The 19,871-nt window shown below is 34.9% G+C and overlaps 1 long non-coding RNA gene across 1 annotated transcript in view, besides 1 other annotated feature; it reads right to left on the bottom strand.

The window, feature by feature from the left end:
- The window catches only part of LINC01362 (long intergenic non-protein coding RNA 1362), a 263,633-nt gene that overhangs the window by 25,984 nt on the left and 217,778 nt on the right, over positions 1–19,871 (bottom strand). The window lies entirely within an intron of this gene.
- Positions 11,476–11,625: an enhancer, noted in NCBI's record as "active region_1241". NCBI's record gives its function as "activates an Ori minimal core promoter by ATAC-STARR-seq in GM12878 lymphoblastoid cells {active_cell/tissue: GM12878}" and the evidence as "EXISTENCE:reporter gene assay evidence [ECO:0000049][PMID:35858748]".

The raw sequence follows: 19,871 nt of genomic DNA, 5'->3' as shown, positions 1-19,871 counted from the left end.
GAAGGGGCAAAATGCCACCAGTCTCTTTATTAAATCATAACAAGAGTCACCTTTGCTCCAGTTCCCAAGAAGTTCCTCATCTCTATCTGAGACCACCTCAGCCTGGACTTTATTGTCCCTATCACTATCAGCATTTTGGTCAAAGCCATTCAGCAAGTCTCTAGGAAACTCCACACTTTCCCACATTTTCCTGTTTTCTTCCAAGCCCTCCACAGTGTTCCAACCTCTGCCTGTTACCCATTTCCAAAGTCACTTCCACATTTTCGGGTATCCTTATAGCAGCACCCCACTCTACCAGTACCAATTTACTGTATTAGTCCATTCTCATGCTGCTATAAAGAACTGCTCAAGACTGGGTAAATTATAAAGGAAGGAGGTTTAATTGACCACAGTTCCTCAGGGTTCGCAAGGCCTCAGGAAACCTACAATTACGGTGGAAGGGGAAGCAAATGCCCTTCTTCACATGGTGGCAGGAAGGAGAAGAATGAGAACCAAATGAGGGAGAAGCCCCTTATAAAACCATCAGATCTTGTGAGAACTTACTATCATGAGAATAGCATGGGGGAAACTGCCCTGTGATTCAATTACTTCCCACTAGGTCACTCCCACCATACATGGAGATTATAGGAACTACAATTTAGGATGAGATTTGGGTGGGAACACAGCCAAACCATATCAAGTATTAACAGCAGAATCAACCAAGCTGAGGAAAGACTCTCAGAGCTCAAAGACTGGTTCTCCAAAATACAGTTAGACAAAAATAAAGAAAAAATTAAAAAAATGAACAAAACATTCAAGAAATATGAGGTTATATAAAGAGAACACATTTTCAACTCATTGGCGTCCCTGAAAGAGAGGGGAGAAAGCAGGCAACTTGGAAATCATATTTGAGAATATCATTCACCAAAACTTTTTCAGCTTCACAAGAGAAGCTGACATTCAAATTCAAGAGATGCAAATAACCCCTGCAAGATACTATATAAGATGACCATCCCAAAGACTCATAATTTTCAGATTCTTCAAGGTTGACATGAAAGAAAATATATTAAAGGCAGCTAGAAAGAAAGGACAGGTCACCTACAAAGGGAAACTCATCAGATTAACAGTGACTGTTTCAGCAGAAACACTCCAATCTGAAATAGATTGGGGGCCTATATTCTGCATTTTTAAAGAAAAGAAACTCCAACCAATAATTTCCTACCCAGCCAAACTAAGCTTTATAAGCAAAGGAGAAATAAGACCCTTTTCAGACAAGGAAATATTAAGGGAACTTGTTACAACCAGACCTGCCTTTCAGAAGGTACTTGAGGGAGTTCTAAACATGGAAAGCAAAGACCATTACCAGCCACCACAAAAACAAACTTAAGTACATAGGTTATGGACACTATAAAACAACCACATAATAAAGTCTGCATAATAACCAGCTAACAACACAAAGATAGGATCCAATTCCCTTCCCCCACCCCCCCGTGAATATTAACCTTGAAAGTAATGGGCTATGTGCCCCAATCAAAAGGCACAGATTGGCAAGTTAGATAAAGAAGCTAGACTGCAAGACTCAAATGTATGCTGTCTTCAAGAAACCCATCCCACAAATAGTGACACCCACAGACTCAAAGTAAAGGGATGAAGAAAAATCTACCAAGCAAACACAAAACAGAATAAAGCAGGGACTCCTATTCTTATTTCCAACAAAACAGACTTTAAACCAGTGATCATCAAAACAGACACAGAAGGGCATTGAATAATAACAAAGAGTTCAATTCAATGAGAAGACCTAACTATTGTAAATATATACCCACCCAATGTAGGAGTACCCAGATGCATAAAGCAAGTTCTGAAACACCTACAAAAAGATGTAGATAACCACACAATAATAGTGGGAGACTACAACATGACACTGACAGTATCAGGCAGATCATTGAGACATACAACTAACAAAAATATTCAGGACTTGAACTCAACACTTGACTAAATGGGCCTAATAAATATCTACAGAACTCCGCATCCAAAAACAACAGAATATAAATTATTCTCATCTGCACATAGCACATACTCTAAAGTCAACCACATGATTGGCCACAAAACAACCCTCAGCAAATAAAAAAAAACTGAAATCATACCAAACTTACTCTTGGACTACAGTGCAATAAACAATCAACACTAAGAAAATTGCTTACAACTATGCAATTACTTGGAATTAAACAACCTGCTCCTGAATGACTTTTGGGTGAACAATGAAATTAAGGCAAACATCAAGTAATTCTTTGAAACTAAACTCTGGTATCCCAGAGATACCAGAATCTCTGGGACACAGCTAAAGCAGTGGTAAGAGGGAATTTTATAGTGATGCCCACATCAAAAAGTTAAAAGGATCTCTAATTCATAACCTAAGGTCACACCTGGAAAAATTAGAAAAACAAGAGCAAACCAACCCCAAAGCTAGCAGAAGACAAGAAATAACCAAAATCAGAGCTGAACTGAAGGAAATTGAGAGATGAAGAGCAAAAAAGATAAATCCAAATTTTAATTTTTTTAAAGAATAAAAAGATTGATAAACTCTTAGCTAGACTAATAAAGAAAAAAATAGAGAGGACCCAAATAAACACAATTAGAAAAGACAACGAAGACATTACCACTGACCCCACAAAAATACAAAATACCCTCAGAGACAACTACAAATACCTATGCACACAAAGTAGAAAACTTAGAAGAAATGGATAAATTCCTAGAAACATAAGCTCCCAAGGTTGAACAAGGAAGAAACTGAATCCCTAAACAGATCAATAATGAGTTCCAAAATTGAATCAGTTATGAAAAGCCTATCAATTAGAAAACAACAGGGACCAGATGGATCCACAGCCTAATTCTACCAAATGTATAAAGTAGAGCTAGTACCACTTCTACTAAAACTACTCCAAAAAGTTGAGGAGGAGGGACTCTCCCTAACGCATTGTATGAGGCCAGCATCATCCTAATACTAAAATCTGGCTTAGATGCAACAAAAAAAGAAAATGTTGGGCCAATATCCCTGATGAACATAGATGCTAAAATCCTCAACAAAAATACTAGCAAATCAAATCCAGCAGCACATCAAAAAGCTAATCCACAGCAATCAGGTAGGCTTTATTCCTGGGATGCAAGATTAGTTCAACCTGTACAAAACCAATAAATATGATTCATCTCATAAACAGAACTAAAATAAACCACATGAACATCTCAACAGATGCAGAAACGGCTTTCAATAAAATTCAGCATCGTTTCATGTTAAAAATCCTCAACAAGCAAGGCATTGAAGAAACATACATCAAAATAACAAGAGCCATCTATGACAAACCCACAGCCAACATCATACTGAATGGGCAAATGCTGGAAGCATTGCCCTTGAGAAACAGAACAAGACAAGGGTGACCACTCTCAGCACTCCTGTTCAACATAGTACTGGACATCCTAGCCAGAACAGTCAGGCAAGAGAAAGAAATAAAAGGTACCCAAACAGGGAAAGAGGAAGTCACACTATCTCTATCTGCAATCTGTTTCTATACCTAGAAAACCCCATAGTTTCTGCCTAGCAACTCCTAGATCCAATAAAAAAGTCATCAAAGTTTGAAGATACAAAATCAATGTACAAAAATTAGTAGCATTTCTATACACCAATAACGTTCAAGCTAAGATCCAAATCAAGAACACAATCCTATTCACAATAGCCAAAAAAGGAATAAAATACCTAGGAATACAGTTAATGACAGAGGTGAAACATAAACATCTCTACAAGAAGTACAAAACGTTGCTCAAAGAAATCAGAGATGACACAAACAAATGTAAAAACATTCCATGCTCATGAATAGGAAGAATCAAAATTGTTAAAATGGCCATACTACCCACAGCAATTTAGATTGAATGCTATTCCTCTTAAACCACCAATTACATTCTTCACAGAATTATAAAAAACTGTTTCAAAATTCATATGGAAACATAAAAGAGCTCAAATAGCCAAGGTGATCCTAAGCAAAAATTAAAAAGCTGGAGGCATCACATTACCTGACTTCAAACCATACCACAAGGCCACAGTAATCAAAACAGCATGGTACTGGTACAAAAACAGACACATACACCAACTGAACAGAATAGAGAGCCCAGAAATAATGCCAGACAGCTACAACCACCCAATTTTTGACAAAGTTAACAAAAAACAAGCAATAGGACAAGGACTCCCTATTCCATAAATGGTGCTGGGATAACCTGCTAGATATATGCAGAAGACTGAAACTAAACCCCTCCCTGACACCATATACAAAAATCAATTCAAGATAGATTAAAGACCTAAATGTAAAACCTAAAACTAAAGACCTTAGAAGGTAACCTACAAATTACCATTCTGGACATAGGTCCTGGGAAAATTTTCTTCCCAAAGATGCCAACAGCAATGGCAACAAAAACAAAAATTGACAAACGGGACCCAATTAAAGAGCTTCCGCACAGCAAAAGAAACTATCAACAGAGTAAACAGACAACTTCCACAAGGGGAGAAAATATTTGCAAATTATGATTTGATGAAGATAGGTTCTTCATAGATTCTAATATCCAGAATCTATAAGGAACTTAAATTAACAAGCAAAAAACAACCCCATTGAAAAGTGGGCTAAAAACCTGAACAGACACTTTTCAAAAGAAGACATACATGTGGCCAATAAGCATATGGAAACAAGCTCAACATCACTAATAATTAGAGAAATCAAAACCACAATGAGATACCATCTCATGCCAGTCAGAATAGCTATTATTAAAAAGGCAAAAAACAGCAGTTGCTAGTGGAGTTGCAGAGAATGGGGAATGCTTATACACTGCTGGTGGGAATGTAAATTAGTTCAGCCACTGAGGAACACAGTGTGATGACTTCTCAAATAACTTAAAACAGAATTACCATTTGACCCAGCAATCCCATTATTGTGTATATACCCAAAGGAATATAAATCATTCTGTCATAAAGACACATGAATGCAAATGTTCATCACACACTATTTTCGTAATAGCAAATATTGCATGTTCTCACTCACAAATGAAAGCTAAACAATGAGACTACATGGGTACAAAGAGGGGAACAACAGATACCAGAGACTACTAGGCTGAAGGATAGGGGAGGGAGAGGATTGAAAAGCTACCTAATAGGGCCTATGCTTATTTCCTGAGTGATGAAATAATCTGTACAACTAACCCCTGTGACATGCAATTTACCTATATAGCAAACCTACACATGTATCCCTGAACCTAAAATATAACTTAAAAATAAAAATAAATATTTTCTCTTCATTTTTTGTATTACCAGTTTAGTTTTCTTTTTTACCTCTCACTCAGACTGTTGCAATAATCTCCAAGCTGTATTTTATGCATTTCATTTTCCCCCATCCTATTTATTCTCCACATTGCTTCCTAGATTTTCTTTTTTCTTCTTCTTCTTTTTTTTTTCTGTTTTTGAGATGGAGTCTTGCTGTCACCCAGGCTGGAGTGCAGTGGCGCGATCTTGGCTCACTGCAAGCTCCGCCTCTTGGGTTCATGCCATTCTCCTGCCTCAGCCTCCCCAGGACTACAGGCACCTGCCGCCAAGCCTGGCTAATTTTTTTGTATTTTTAGTAGAGACGGGGTTTCACCGTGTTAACCAAGATGGTCTCGATCTCCTGACCTCCTGATCCACCCGCCTTGGCCTCCTAAAGTGCTGGGATTACAGGCGTGAGCCACCGCGCCTAGCCCTAGATTTTCTTTCCTAAAGGAAAGATGTCAAGCCACTTTCTTGCTTGACAATATTTAGCAGCTGGCTTGCCATTGATTTTAAGATAAGCTCCAAATTCTCCATTGTATTAGCTAGCTATGGTTATGCAACAATATTGTAACACATTTATTGTCTTATTTTTTATGATGTCAGTATTTATGATGTCAGTTTCTGTGGGTCAGGAGTCCAGGGATGGTTTGGCTGTCTACTCTGATTCAGAGTTTCACAAGGTTTACAGTCAAGGTATAGGCTGGTGCTGCTGTTTCAAGCTCTGAAGTTTAACCGGGGAAAAATCCATTTCCAAGCTCATGTGGCTGTTAGTATCTTTCAGCTCCTGTGAGCTGTTGGCCAGAAGCTGTTCTGAGTTCCTGGCTGGCTGTTGACCTAAGACTGCCTCAATTCCTTGTTCCATGAATCTTCCCAATGTGGACGCTTACTTTGTCAAAGCCAGCAAGGGAAAGAGTCTCCTTATAAGATGGAGTTTACAATCTTAGGCAATGCAATCACATCACCTTTGCCACATTCTGTGGGTTAGAACAAGCCCCAGACTCTGCCCACACTCAATGGTAGGGGATTGCATCAGCCATGAATATCACAAGGTCATCTTAGAGTCTGTCTGCCACATTCATCAAGTCATATAATGCCCTTAAAATCTGGTCTCAACTATCCTTCTTTTTTCTACTCCAGCACTGTATATTTTGTCACACTAAACTATTTTTAAGAAATTATATTGAATCACACGAACAACTGTATTTTGTTGGGGGGATTTTTGTGGGTTTTTTTTGCTTCCAAGTTTTTCTCTTGTTATCTTCTGTGCCTGAATTACACTTCTGCACCTTACCTGGCAAAATTTTACCAAAGACCTTGTGCAAATTTCAGCTCTTCTTAAAACACTCCTGGTTCTACCCGGAAAAATTAATAGCTCCTTCTGAACTGTGTTCCTAACCTCCTCCCACCACCTTCCTATCCATTCTGATTTCATTATGGCATAATTTGGGGTGCTTGCCTAAAATTGTAATTCCAGTAAGAGTAGACAGTGTTTTATCAATACTGAACCCTCAACACCTAGCACAAGATCTTGTACTCGCAAGGACTTGTACATTTGCTAATGAAGTGAACAAATATTGCATTAATTTCAAATGTTTGTTGAACTGAATTTTTGAATGCTCTGTTGACCAAACTACTAGCAGAGCAATGTGTTTCATTCTTGAAAAGTTGTACCTTTGCATTCCAAACACAACCTTGCCTGCTTCCCAGAGTTCTAAAACTAAAGTAAAACATCCAATTAATCAATCAATTACTCAATTGATAAATCAAAGCTAGAGAAGTACTCTAATCAAGCATAACTTATTTTCCTATCTGAGATGTTTTTCACATTTTGTATTTGCTGAAGCAGTGCAAAATGTTGCTGCTTAAAGACATTATGTGACAATCTGTTTTCATTCCTATGCTCTAAAAATTATGAATAGTAATTTTAATATTCTTTATTATTTTTTATATTTTAAATCAGTGTTATTAGTTTTCCCATATTTATTTTAATGACATATATGTAATTTCAAGGTTTGGAAAACTTTAGATAGCAGGTCAAATTCTTTTTAATTCAATCTGTTCAACTGAGGTCTTTATGGGTTTGGAGTAGATATTGCTTTAGGCTGTATATTAGTCAATAAGCTAGATAATAAAAAATGGAAGTATATTTTTCCATTTTAGAGTAATGATGAAAGTCACATAAAGACAATTTCCCAGGTAACTGAAATTAATATTCATTATTGCTAAAAAGTTTTTGTTTTTATTTTCATGATTGGGAGGAAAGCATTTCTTAATTGGGTTATTCATATTCTGGCCTCCTGAACTAGAAGTTCAGATAATTTGAATTTCTGAAATAATTATCAGTCATAACACTGTGGTGTGATATAACCATGTCTTTAAAGCCTGTTACAGGGAATCTATGCTACAGATTGTAACAGCTATGCTTTTCTTATTTATAACTGCTTTTTAACTTACTTTTAAAAATGTAGTTTCTTTCTATCAATGTGCCTGCTTCCAGTGCTGCCTCCTCCACCAACTCTTCTTAGGCATTTTGAAACATATAACCATTGAGGGTATATATGATCCTGACATTAAAATAAATTCATTACAATTTTATTATTATTACTTAGTAGTATTGAACATTTACTGAGCTCTTCCTATTTGCCAAACACTGTTCTAAGTCCATTAGGTGTATAATCTCATTTGTCTTCACAGAGACTATGGGTTAAGGTAAATGGTAGAAGAGCAATAATCTCCTAGACAGATTAAATACTTTATGCAAAGGAAGCCCTGTGGTAAAGAGAGAGTTAGTATAAATAAACATGGAAACAAGTCCAAAAAAGCTGGAGTAAGAAGTGTCTTGGTGGAAATGGATAAAAGTGGGAATTAAAAGGTGTGCAGGGGCCAGATCTTTTAAATGCTCTGGTTCAACCTTACCTTGAGAAACATTCTGTTATACCCATTGAGCAAAATAAAGCATCCTTTCTTCTTTGTTTCTTGAAAACATAACTTCTACTTTGAATTACATTTGGTTGTTTCTGTAATTTACCTTCATTGGCAATTCCTTAAGGATTGGACAACACTTTTATTTCTTTTTTTTAGATAATCTTCAACATAGGTGTCAAAGTCATTTCTGTGATAAGTGTGCAATTAGCGTTGACGGATTTATGTCTGTGTTACTAAGGATTCAATCTGTGGGATGTATAGCCTTCAGCATAAACAGGCTTTGTCATTTCTTCCCATGTTTCATTTGAGTGTGGCCTTCTTACCTCTTTCCTGCATAGCTATTTACTTCTCCCTTCACTTCTTGCACAAACTGCCCCTGCAACTTCCCGCATACATATTTAATCATATTTTTTCAGCAGAAATTCTTATAATTTTCTTTAGTAACAAAATCTATCTTATGAAAATATTCAGTTTCAGAATGCACTGACATTGGATTCTTCCCTAAAGTGAAGATATCAACGTGTATTTTTCCTTTAAACATGAGAGCACGCTGCAATTCCCTTTGATTTGGTTGCATATTTGCAAAATTAAATGAAAAGCAAATGTAACTTTGTAAAAATCACCTCGTCCATGAAACAAGATAATGTGAGAAAGGAGGAAACAACATAACAATTAGAAGCAAACCGTCTTAGCAAGGTGATGAATTCTTTGTACAGTAGAAATGTAGAATCATCAAAGAGTTTTATCTTCCTCTGAATACTACATCACATAGGCATGTGTAAATGCCAACACACCTGCCTGAACATTGAGAAAAACACAAAGGCTCCATGATTCATTCTTACACTGGGCCCAATTTTTACCCTGAGGTGCTGTAGGCACTCATGTAGCACTGCATATTTTAAGACATTCAACACCTTGCATAAATGTTCCTGTGCCAGAGCAGATTATTCAGAATAATAGCCTTCAGTGGTACCTGTATACTTCAGGGGACTGCCTAACCCATTGTTTATTTCAAAAGGAGAGGCAGGCCCCTGAGAATAGACATCGCCAATCACATTTCTATGTTGTACCAAATCCTCTAAGGAAACCAGAAGGTTGACAGAAAGTTAAGCATTTTTTTCTAGAGGAACTGCATTCAGCATTTTCACTCAGAAAAGAGAAAAAAAAATCAATAAATAGACAATCCAAGAACTAGAAAAAGAGCATATTGATAGTGCAAGAAATTGTAAGAAGAAAAGTATTTACTCAAACCTGATTTTTGGGTGTGAGAAAGCCATGAGCAAGACAGAAAGAGGAAGAGAGAATGTTTTCTTCCAAGGGGTTACAAGAAAGTCCCTGCAGAAAATTTCCTCCTTCCGTTGTTTTAATTTTCTTTAACTAAAAGGCATTATGTAATATTTATAGTTCATTTTGTAAACAAGTTTGAGGAACACAGTAGCTGATGTTTTGCGGGGTAGGAATCAAAGTAATGGTGCAGTTGAACCTGGACATCTTAGAAGTGTGGCCCTCTACATCTGAAAATATATATCAACTTTACTCTGCAACTACTAGTATGACTCTAAGTCAGCATTATTCTTTCTTTCCTTCTGGAAATTATATAAACACAACAATGAAAATACATATAATTAATTTTCACAGAGGTTTGGAAGTATACAATCTTCCAACTTCAAAATATATGCAGGGGTTCCTAGAGGCAGCTTAACAGCTAGAGGCATGCAGGAATATGTGAAGTGTAGGAAGCATGGAAAATGGCAAAAGGGCTTGGTGGTGGCAGATCTCAGACTATAATGGAAAAATCTGCTTCTAGAGGCCAAGGGCTCACCTTGAAGGTCAAGCCATATATCCTGTTTGCAATAAAAAGTGAGAAAACGAGCACGAGCAGAGTTTGTAACAAAAGCCTTCATGGCTTTGGTTTAGATCAGAAAGAAGAAATGGGAGTCATATAGTAGAGAGATATTTGTAGGTAGCTGTCCATCTCTGTGAAAGCAGAAAAGGAGAGAACCTCTGAGTTACAAATGCTGGAAGAATACCTTGCCTCTTTGCCTTAACTTCAAATCATTCTAGGAAAGTTCAAATCAGCCTCTGATAAGAATTAACAAAAAACAAACAGTACTGGCCCCAAATGATACAAAGATACATAAGAAAAATTATAGAAAAGAGAACCAATGCATACCGACAAAAGTGAGTAATCAGAAATCATACAAAACTACAGACAAGAAAGTTTTAATATGGAAGATATCAGGTAATAGTGTTTCAGTAACCCATTCTTGAGATGGTTACTAACTAGAGATCAAATTTCAGCCAACCAAGAGATTCTATAACTGGAGATATTATGGCACAAGGGTATTGAGAATTAAATATATTTTACTAAAGAACTAACACTGAAACAAATTTGGAGATTAAAGTGGCAGAATTAATGTAAATGGCATATGTCTCATAATAATTTAGCAATAAAATAACTTCTACACAAATTAGGAGGACAAAGAAGAAATAAGATGAAAAGACAGTGAGTTTCCTGATTGTGTTTTCTTTAATAACTGGAATATTCTTTTTTTTTCATTTTTTAATTAGGGTAGAATTCACATACAGAAAAAGTATCCTTTTTTATTGTAGAGTTCTACAACTTTTGACAAATGCATGCTGTCATATAAAAACCAAATATTATTCCATATCAAAATATGGAATAATTCTATCAACACACAAACACACACACACACACACATCTTCAGATCTTCCTTTGCAGTCAAACATGCTTCTCTACTGCAGCCCTTGGAAGTCATTGATGTTTTCTGTCTCTGTAGTTCTGCCTTTTCTAGAATATTGTTAAATAGAAACATACAGTGTATAGCAATTTGAGTTCAGTGTCTTTCATTTAACATAATGCATTTGAGATCCATCCTTGCTATTTCATGTATCAATAGCTCATTCTTTTTTATTGCTGGATAGTATTCTGCTGTGTGATTGTTCCCCCAGGTAAGGAACATTTGAGTTGTTTCAAATTTTTGACAATTGAAAAAAAGCCACTATAAAACATTCACATACAGCTCTGTATGTGGACGTACATTTTTATTTCACTTAAGTAAGTAACTAAAGGTAGAATTCCTGGGTCATGTTAAGTAAATGTATATCTTTATAAGGAAGGCCAATTTTTTTTTTCTAAAGGGTCTAAACCATGTTGAATTACCACCAGAAATGTGTGAAAGTTCCAGTAACTCCACACTCTCACCAATGAGTGATGTTGTCAGACTTATTTTTTTGTTTTGTTTTAAGTCAATCTGGTAGGTATGTAGAGACATTTCTTTTCGGTTTTAGTTTGCATTTCTCTATTTCCTATTGAGTATCTTTTTAGGTGTTTATTTGCCATCTGTATACCAATCATCTTTGGTGAAGTCTCTGTTCAAGCCGTTTGTCCATTTTTTAATCGAATTATTTGTTTCCTTCCTTAGATTTTAGAATACTTATTAGAATCTGGATGCAAGTCTTTTATCATAAATGTGATATGCAAATATTTTCTCCCAATCTGTGGCTTGTCTTTTCAGTCTTTTAGCAGAGTATTTTAAAGAACAAAAATTATTAATTTTGGGAAAGTCAATTTATCTCTTTTTTTCTTTATGAATTATGATTTTGTGTGATCAAAAACAATTTTGTTTAACTCCAGGTCACATAGGTTTTGTCCCATGTTACCTTCTAGAATTTTTGTAGTTTTAAGTTTCAGATTTAGGTGTACAAGTCATTTTGAGTTTATGAAGGGAGTGAGGTACAGATTAAAGTTTATTTTGTGCATAGATATCTGAACTTTTAGAGCAACTTTGCTGAGAAGGCTTTTTCATTCTCCATTGAACTACCTCTATACCTTTGTTGAAAACCAACAGACTATATGTCTGAGTCTATTGTATTCATTGTTGTCTTCTGTGTATCTGTACCTATATCCTTTTCAGCACCACACTGTCTTGATTACTGTAGTTTTATAGGAAATTCTGAAATCAGGTAGCATGAATCCTTCAAGTTCATTCTTCTAGTTCAAAATTGTTTTGGTTATTTTAGTTCCTTTGTCACAGATATTTTAATGTATTAGCTTGTTTAATTCCTAAAAATATGCGCATGGGTTTTTTTATTGGAATTTTGTTGCATTTATAGATTAGTTGGGGGAATGTATACATCTTACTACATTTGTAATTTTATTTTTTTAAGATTTGTTGAGGGTTGTTTTGTTGCTCGTGATATGGTCAATCATGATGGATGTTCCATTTGTACATGAAAATAATGTGTATACTGTGGTATATTTTATGCTATAAATACTAATTAGGCCAATTGGTTGGTAGTATTTCTGTGATCTTCCATATTCTTATTAATTTACTGTCTTTTTGTTTTATCAATTACTGAGAGAAGAGAGTTAAACTAAGTCCACATTTTGTTTATTTCTACTTTCAGTTCTGTCAGTTTTTGTTGTATGCACAGTATTTTATAGATCTGCTGAGAAGTAGATATATGCTTTGGATTGTTATGTCTTTTTATGAATTGATCTGTTTATCACTATGTAATGATAATATTGTCTAATATTAATATAACCACTTTAGCTTGACTAGTGTTTGCATGCTATAGTTTTTCTATCCTCTCACTTTTAACCTTAGTTTTAAATTAAGTTTCTTATAGACAGCTTATACTTGAGTCTTGCTTTTTAATTCAGTCTGACAATCTTTGTCTTTTAATGGATTTGTTTAAACTACTTATGGTTAATGAAATTATTGATATCCTTAAGTTAATATTTACTATTTTTATTTTTGCTATTGTTTTCATGTACTATTTCTTTTCTTCCCATTTCTGTTATATTTCTTTTTTTATATAAATTGACTATTTTTATTTTATTTTATCTATAATATTGATTTATTATTTATATTACTTTTTAAAAAATTAGTAATTCTCGTAGGGTTTACAATATACATTTAAAATACACATTTAACTAATCTGTCTGCTTTTAAAGAATATTATACTACTTTTTGTATAGTTAAAAATCTTACAAATACATATATTCAATCTATTCCTTTTATTTATTTATTTTTTTGGTAATGTTGTCATACAGGTTACTTTTATGTTTGCTCTAAAAGTCAATACCTTACTACTCTCTTGCTTTAGGCAGCCAGTTGTATTTCAGAGTAATTAGAAATAAGAAAAAAAAATGGCCTTCCTGTATTTGCTTTCATATGCCGTTTCATTACCCTGTTTGTTTGTTTGTTTGTTTGTTTTTGTTGTTGTTGCTGTTGTTGTTGACTTAGATCCAAGTTGGTTTATAATTAATATATTTTTTCTGCCTGAAGTTATCCTGAAATATTTCTTGTTTATGGAGCTGCTGGCAAGAAATTCTCTATTTTGTGTTTCGGAAAATTTCTTAATTTTCCTTCCCTTCTGAAAAATAACTTTTTAAGGAATTGAATTCCGGGTTGACAATTTGTTTCAGAATTTAACAACCTAATTCCATTTTTCTTTCAGATTGCATATTTTCTGTAGAGAAATATGCTGTAGTTCTCTTTTCCTTTGTATAGGTGTGCCATTTTTATCTAGCTACTTTTAAGCAATGTGTTTTTATTTTTTTGTGTTCAGAAGTTGCAATATTAGACGTCTAAGTATTTCTGTTTTTATTGTTTTATTTTGTTATTTGTCTTGATTGCTGTTCTCTGAGTGTCATGAATCACTTGTGCATTTTTTCAAGTTGAAAATTCTTGGACTATCTCTTCTCCATCATTCTTTCTCTTGGTTTTCTTTCATCTGTGGAAATTGCCACTACACTTATATTAAGTGATTTCATATTATCCCACAGCTCATGCATGCTCTGTTCCTTTTAAAACAAAAACAAGAACACTTTCTTTTCTACTTGCAGTTTTTTTGGCTTATTTTTTTATGAACCTATCTTCATGTTTACTGATTCTTTAGCTGTTTCAAGTCTACTTATCAGCCTTTTGAAGGCATTTTTTCTTCTCTGTTATTGTATTTTCTCTGTATAATATTTTTATTGAGCTCTCCTTCAAAGTTTCATCTTTCTGTTGAAGTTACCTATCTAATGATGCATTTCATTCACCTTTTTCACTCAAGACTTAAGCATATTAATCAAAGTTATTTTAAATTCTGTTTTATAGTTTAAATGTCTTTGTCATATCTGAGTCTGGTTTTGTCAATTGCTTCATCTCTTGGCAGAGGTTGTTTTTTTTTTTCCTTCTTTTTTGTGTATCTTGTAATGTTTTGTTCAGAGCTGGACATGCTATGTAGTGTAGTGGAAACTATGGTGCATAGCTTTTCTGTGTGAAAGTGGGACCATCTCATTCTGTACTGTGATATAAGAGGGTTATTCTCTGTTGTTCTTGTTTAGCCTCATTCTCAGGTATGTACTATGTCACTGATCTCAGTGGTTGGGGCCTTCTCAGTGATCTTGTGTCTCCCTGACCGAAGACCTCTGATGGTCTGGGCCCAAGAATTATTGCTGTCTCTGCTTAAGGGTAGATATGGATAGATTTTATTTTATTTCTATTCCCTACCCCTAGATGCAGTGAGTCCTCACTTGTGGTTGATGCCCTTTATTTAAACAGGGTAAGGCTTGTGTTCTGTAGGTAAGATAAGGGAGTAGGATCTTGACAGGGTTTTGTATCTTTTCTACTAGAGCAGTTTTGTTTTCCCTTCAGCCTGAAACCGAATAGAGGATTTTTCAGCTATCTTTCCCTGCCCCAAATATTTCTCATGGATACTTCGCTGTGGTCCATTGATAAGAGCTTGCTAGTAAGTAAAAATTACCCTCTGTATAGACCTGAAGGGTTTGGTACTTTTATACTAATTCATTTTTATGCTAGCCTTTAGAAATTCATTGAAACTTTAATTGAATTACTTTTACGGCCTTGCATAGCATCTGGCATCCATCTCAAGGAAACAAGTCCTTGCATCTGTGTCTCTTTGAAGGTTCAAACTTATTGAGATTTTTATTTGTGGTTCAGTATACCATCAATAAATTTCTACAAGTAGAAATAAAACAGACAACATTATTTCACCACAATACAAAAGAACAAACAGAAATTATTAAGAAAACATGAAAATAAACCAAAAAAGCTACTCAGCCTATAAAAGTAAAAAGTATCTCTGTGATGGTTAATGTCAAGTGTCAATTTGTCTGGATTAAGGGATACCCATATAGCTGGTAAAGCTTTATTTTGAGACATGTCCAAGGTTTTTCCAGAAGAGATTTGCATCTGAATCAGTGAACTAAGTAAGAAAGACCAGCTCTCACTCAGTGTGGGTGGGCACTATCCAATTGGCTGAGGACTCAGACACAACAGAAAAACAGAAAAAAGGCAAATGTATTTGGAGCTGGGACATCCATCTTCTCCCATGCTTGCACATCAGAATTCCAGGTCCTCCAGCCTTGGGACTCCAGGATTTATACCAGTCACCTCCCCTCACCTCCAGGGTCTCGGGCCTTTGGACTTGGACTGAGCCATGCCACCAGCTTCCCTGGTTTTTCTACTTGCAGACAGCATATGATGGAACTCCTCAGCTTCCATAATCATGTGAGCCAATCTCCATAATAAATCCCCTTTCATATATCACTCTATATATCCTATTGGTTCTGTTCTCTGGTAAATACTGACAAATAAAACTCTATAACAATTGTTGAGTAAAAGGGAAATTTTAAATGAAGTTAAATTATATTAAAAACTGCATGTACTACATTTGTATGTTCAATACATATGCTACTACTGCATATGTACTACTAAAAGCACTTACAGAGAAAAAATCATAGCAATAAAAACCAATATCAAAGGAAAAAAGAAATGAATTCGACATTCGTGAAAAATTTTTTGAAAAAGAACAATGAAACAAATAAAAGGAAAGCTTATGGAAGGGTTATGGATTGAATGTTCCTACCCCACCTCCTAAATTCATATGTTGAAATCTTAAACCTCGACGTGATGGTTTTAAGAGATAGGACCTTTGGAAGGTAGATAGGGCATGAGGGTAGAGCCTTATGAATGGTAGCAGTGACCTCATAGAAAAGACCACAGAAAGGTTTCTTGTCCCTTCCACTATGTGAAGTCACAACAAGAAGGTGGCTATCTATAAAGCAGAAATCGGGCCCTCACCAGGCACTGAATTTATAGGCCCCTTGATCTCAGGCTGCCAGCCTCCAGAACTGTGAGAAATAAATTACCGTCACTTAGAAGCCACCCAGTCTGTGGTACTTCATTACAGCAGCCTGAATAGTCTAAGACAGGTTGTGGCAGGCAGAATTCTAAAATGGCTCCCAAGGCTTTCTATCCTAACCTCTGAGACTGTGAACATGATGCACTGTCATTCCCTTATTATATCATGTTACATGTCAAAGAGATTTTTTATTTTTTTGCAGATGTACTTAGGAGACTAATCCATTGACTTTGAGTTAATCAATAGAGAGTTTGTTTGGGTGAACCTATCCTAATCTCATGAGACCTTTAAAAGCAGAGTTTTCTCCATCTGATAGCAAAAGGGAAACTCAGAGAGAGAGTTAAGGCACAAGAAGGAATCCATGTGATTTTGGTGTCTTTGAAAGTGGAAAGAGCCACTTGGAATGGACTTAAGAGGGCTCTCTAGGAACTGAAAATGACCCTAGTTAAAATAAGTAAATAGGAACCTCAGTCTTATAACACTAAGGAACTGAATTCTGCTAACAACCTGAATGAGCCTAGAAGGTGATTTTATCCCAAAGCCTCCCGGAAAGATTCCAGCCCAACTCAACTGACCCCTTTGCTTTAGCCAGTGAGACCCTAAGCAGAGAACTCAGTTGAGTCTGTCTGCATTTCTGATCCACAGAACTATGTGATACTAAATGAGTTTTGTTTTAAGCTTCTAAGTTTTTGTGATTTGTTACGTGGCAAAAGAAACAAATACCAAAATATAACAATAATTAATGTTAGCCAACAGAAAAAAGTACAGTTAATATATAAACAGATAAATAAATAAGCTTGTACTTGAGAAAGTTTATAATACAGATAAATTATTCATAAACTAACCAACAAAAAAGACAAATAAAAGATAGATATTATTGTGCTTGGGGGAAAATAATAACATATGAACGGAATTAAAAAATCAGAAGATATTATTTTGCAGAAAAGAGAACGGATAACATATCTTCATATTTATTTTATCTGCCTAAAGAAATTCTGAAAGAATGTATAAGAGACTATTAATAATAATAACTAAAAACTGAAGGCGAGATGTGAGTGGAGGCTGAAAACTAGATCAATGGCAGACAGCTGTGAGAAAAAGTACATATATATATTTTATATATCTGTGAATTTTGTTCTTGAACTATGTGAGTTTATTTCTTTTTTCAAAAAAATTAATTTAAAAATAATGATTGCGCAAGTAAATTCTAAAACATTACTAAATTACTTCCTGACCTACATGTCTGCTGGTGTGATTTAATTATATGTATTTCAAGAAGTCTTATTTTAAAACAAATACAGTTCTTTTTAAATTATTTTTATTACATTAAAATAAATGTATGACAGACAGGTAATCACCAAAGCTGACGTACCTTCAAACACCTAGGGAATTTTTTTTTTTTTGACAATACTGTTTTAATTAAACAAGATGTCCTTTGGAACAGCCAAGATGGAAACATTTAGAAGTCTCTTTTCACTCTTCTGTGGAAAGTGTGGGAAATGAATAATGGACATAGGTAATTAAAATGAGAGGTTTTGAATTACCTAAGATGACATTCAGCAATACCAAGAGGACATCCCTGGGAACATGCAGAAAAATCACAAGGCTTCTTAATAGGATGGGAAACAGAAAAAGAAACAGGAATGAATCTTTTATTCAGACATGATGATAATGGTATTCCTTCTAGATTTGGATCCATGGTAAGAAAGCGAGTCTCATTATATGAGGGAGAAAATTATTCTAATATGATTAATATGGCAGGTTGGTAAAAATAAGAAAGGGATGTGATTGACATTGTTTTTGTAACTTTTTATACTAAAATTCATCATGGAGAGAAAATAGAGGAAGATGTAAATGTCTTCATATTGAATATATGCAGAGACCATATGGTAGAATTATAGCTCCCAAATGGCATCAATTTCTACATAGTGCTCTAATTTGGAATATTACTGATAACCTAATTTTGGATGTGTTTCAAGCCCATCATTATATTTATCTCCAAAAGAACCAAAGGAATGCATTTTGGGAAAAAAAAAAAGACAAACTTTAGTCTGGTGGATATTGAACGCATTTAAGAAAAATAAACAAATGATAAAAACTGCATGGAATGTAATGATACATGGCATGAGGAAGAAAAAATACAGGCATGTGGAAGAAATGATAGATTAGATAACATCCTGATAAATGTTATTTTTAAAATCCTTCCTTCTTCCTACAATAGGTAATCTCTGGGAAAATGATTAGAGCAAGGACTAATCATAAGTAGTGAGTTCTTTTAGAATACATGCACCCACTGCACACGCATGCGCGCACGCACGTGCACGCGCGCGCACACACACACACACACACACACACACACACACACACACACACACAAAGCTTTTTATTATAGCCAGAGATGGACGCAGGTAATAAAAAACCAACTCATCTCTACTTACAGTAAAACCCTAAAATAAAGAACAAACCTTATTATGAGGACATGAAATTTCAAACGAAAGTATAATTGGCTTGCTGCATTTTAAGACTGCATTACTGAGCTACAACATTATTGTGGTAACTTTATTACATACATTTAAAAATGAGCTCATTGTCAAGCAGTTTGGAGTGTCTGTCTCTTTCTGTCTGCCTCATCATTCACCCCTCCTATTTGCCCCAACTTCACCCTGATGAAAAACAATGCTCTCTTCTGTTTCCCTGCATAATAGGGATCAGAATTTATTCTCACTTTCCCATAAAAGGTGTCACCTGGTCATTACAAAATTTTAAGTCACAATTATTGCAATGTATCATATTCAAACCTTTAAATTTTTGAAACTTTCCCAATTGTATAAGCATAAATTTTCATGTAATAATGTAATAAACAAAAACCTTTTTCTGCCATGAATGATGAGAGAACATCTGGCTTTCTTTTTAAATGGTCAAAATCAGTCAGAAAAAAGTTTTATCAAGTTTTAAATATGAAAAAAATTACTGTTAAAATTTGTCACGATCATATCATAGAGCAACTTCATTTTTTTAATTTTAGTTCCATTCTGATGAAAGATGGCTAAAACCAAGGAGTGATGTTCCACTTGAGGAGGAAATGTTTTTTATTCTAGGTATGAAAACTATCCTTAAACCAAAATCAAACTTGATGCAAACACAATATTTAAGAATTAATTCATCATTCTATCTTGCAAGTTTAGAGTAATCCAGATTTTGTATTCAGACTACCTGGGCTCAAATTTTGATGCACCATTTGCTTAGCTATATGACTGTCTACAACTTCTCAACTATAAGATGAAGGCAAATAAATAAATAAATAAAACCAAAAACCTCACATTTCATAGTATTGTTATGAAGCTTAAAGGAGGTAATACTTGAAAAGTGTTTTGTTCAGTGCCTGGCAAATTAATTAGTATTTACTTAATGCCACTACTATTATTTTATATATAAAAAAGAGTCATCT

The sequence above is a fragment of the Homo sapiens genome, chromosome 1 (genome assembly GCF_000001405.40).
Source record: "Homo sapiens chromosome 1, GRCh38.p14 Primary Assembly".
Taxonomy (NCBI): Eukaryota; Metazoa; Chordata; class Mammalia; order Primates; family Hominidae; genus Homo; species Homo sapiens.
Note: the sequence above shows the minus strand (reverse complement) of the source record. Positions and strands in the feature narration are given on the sequence as shown.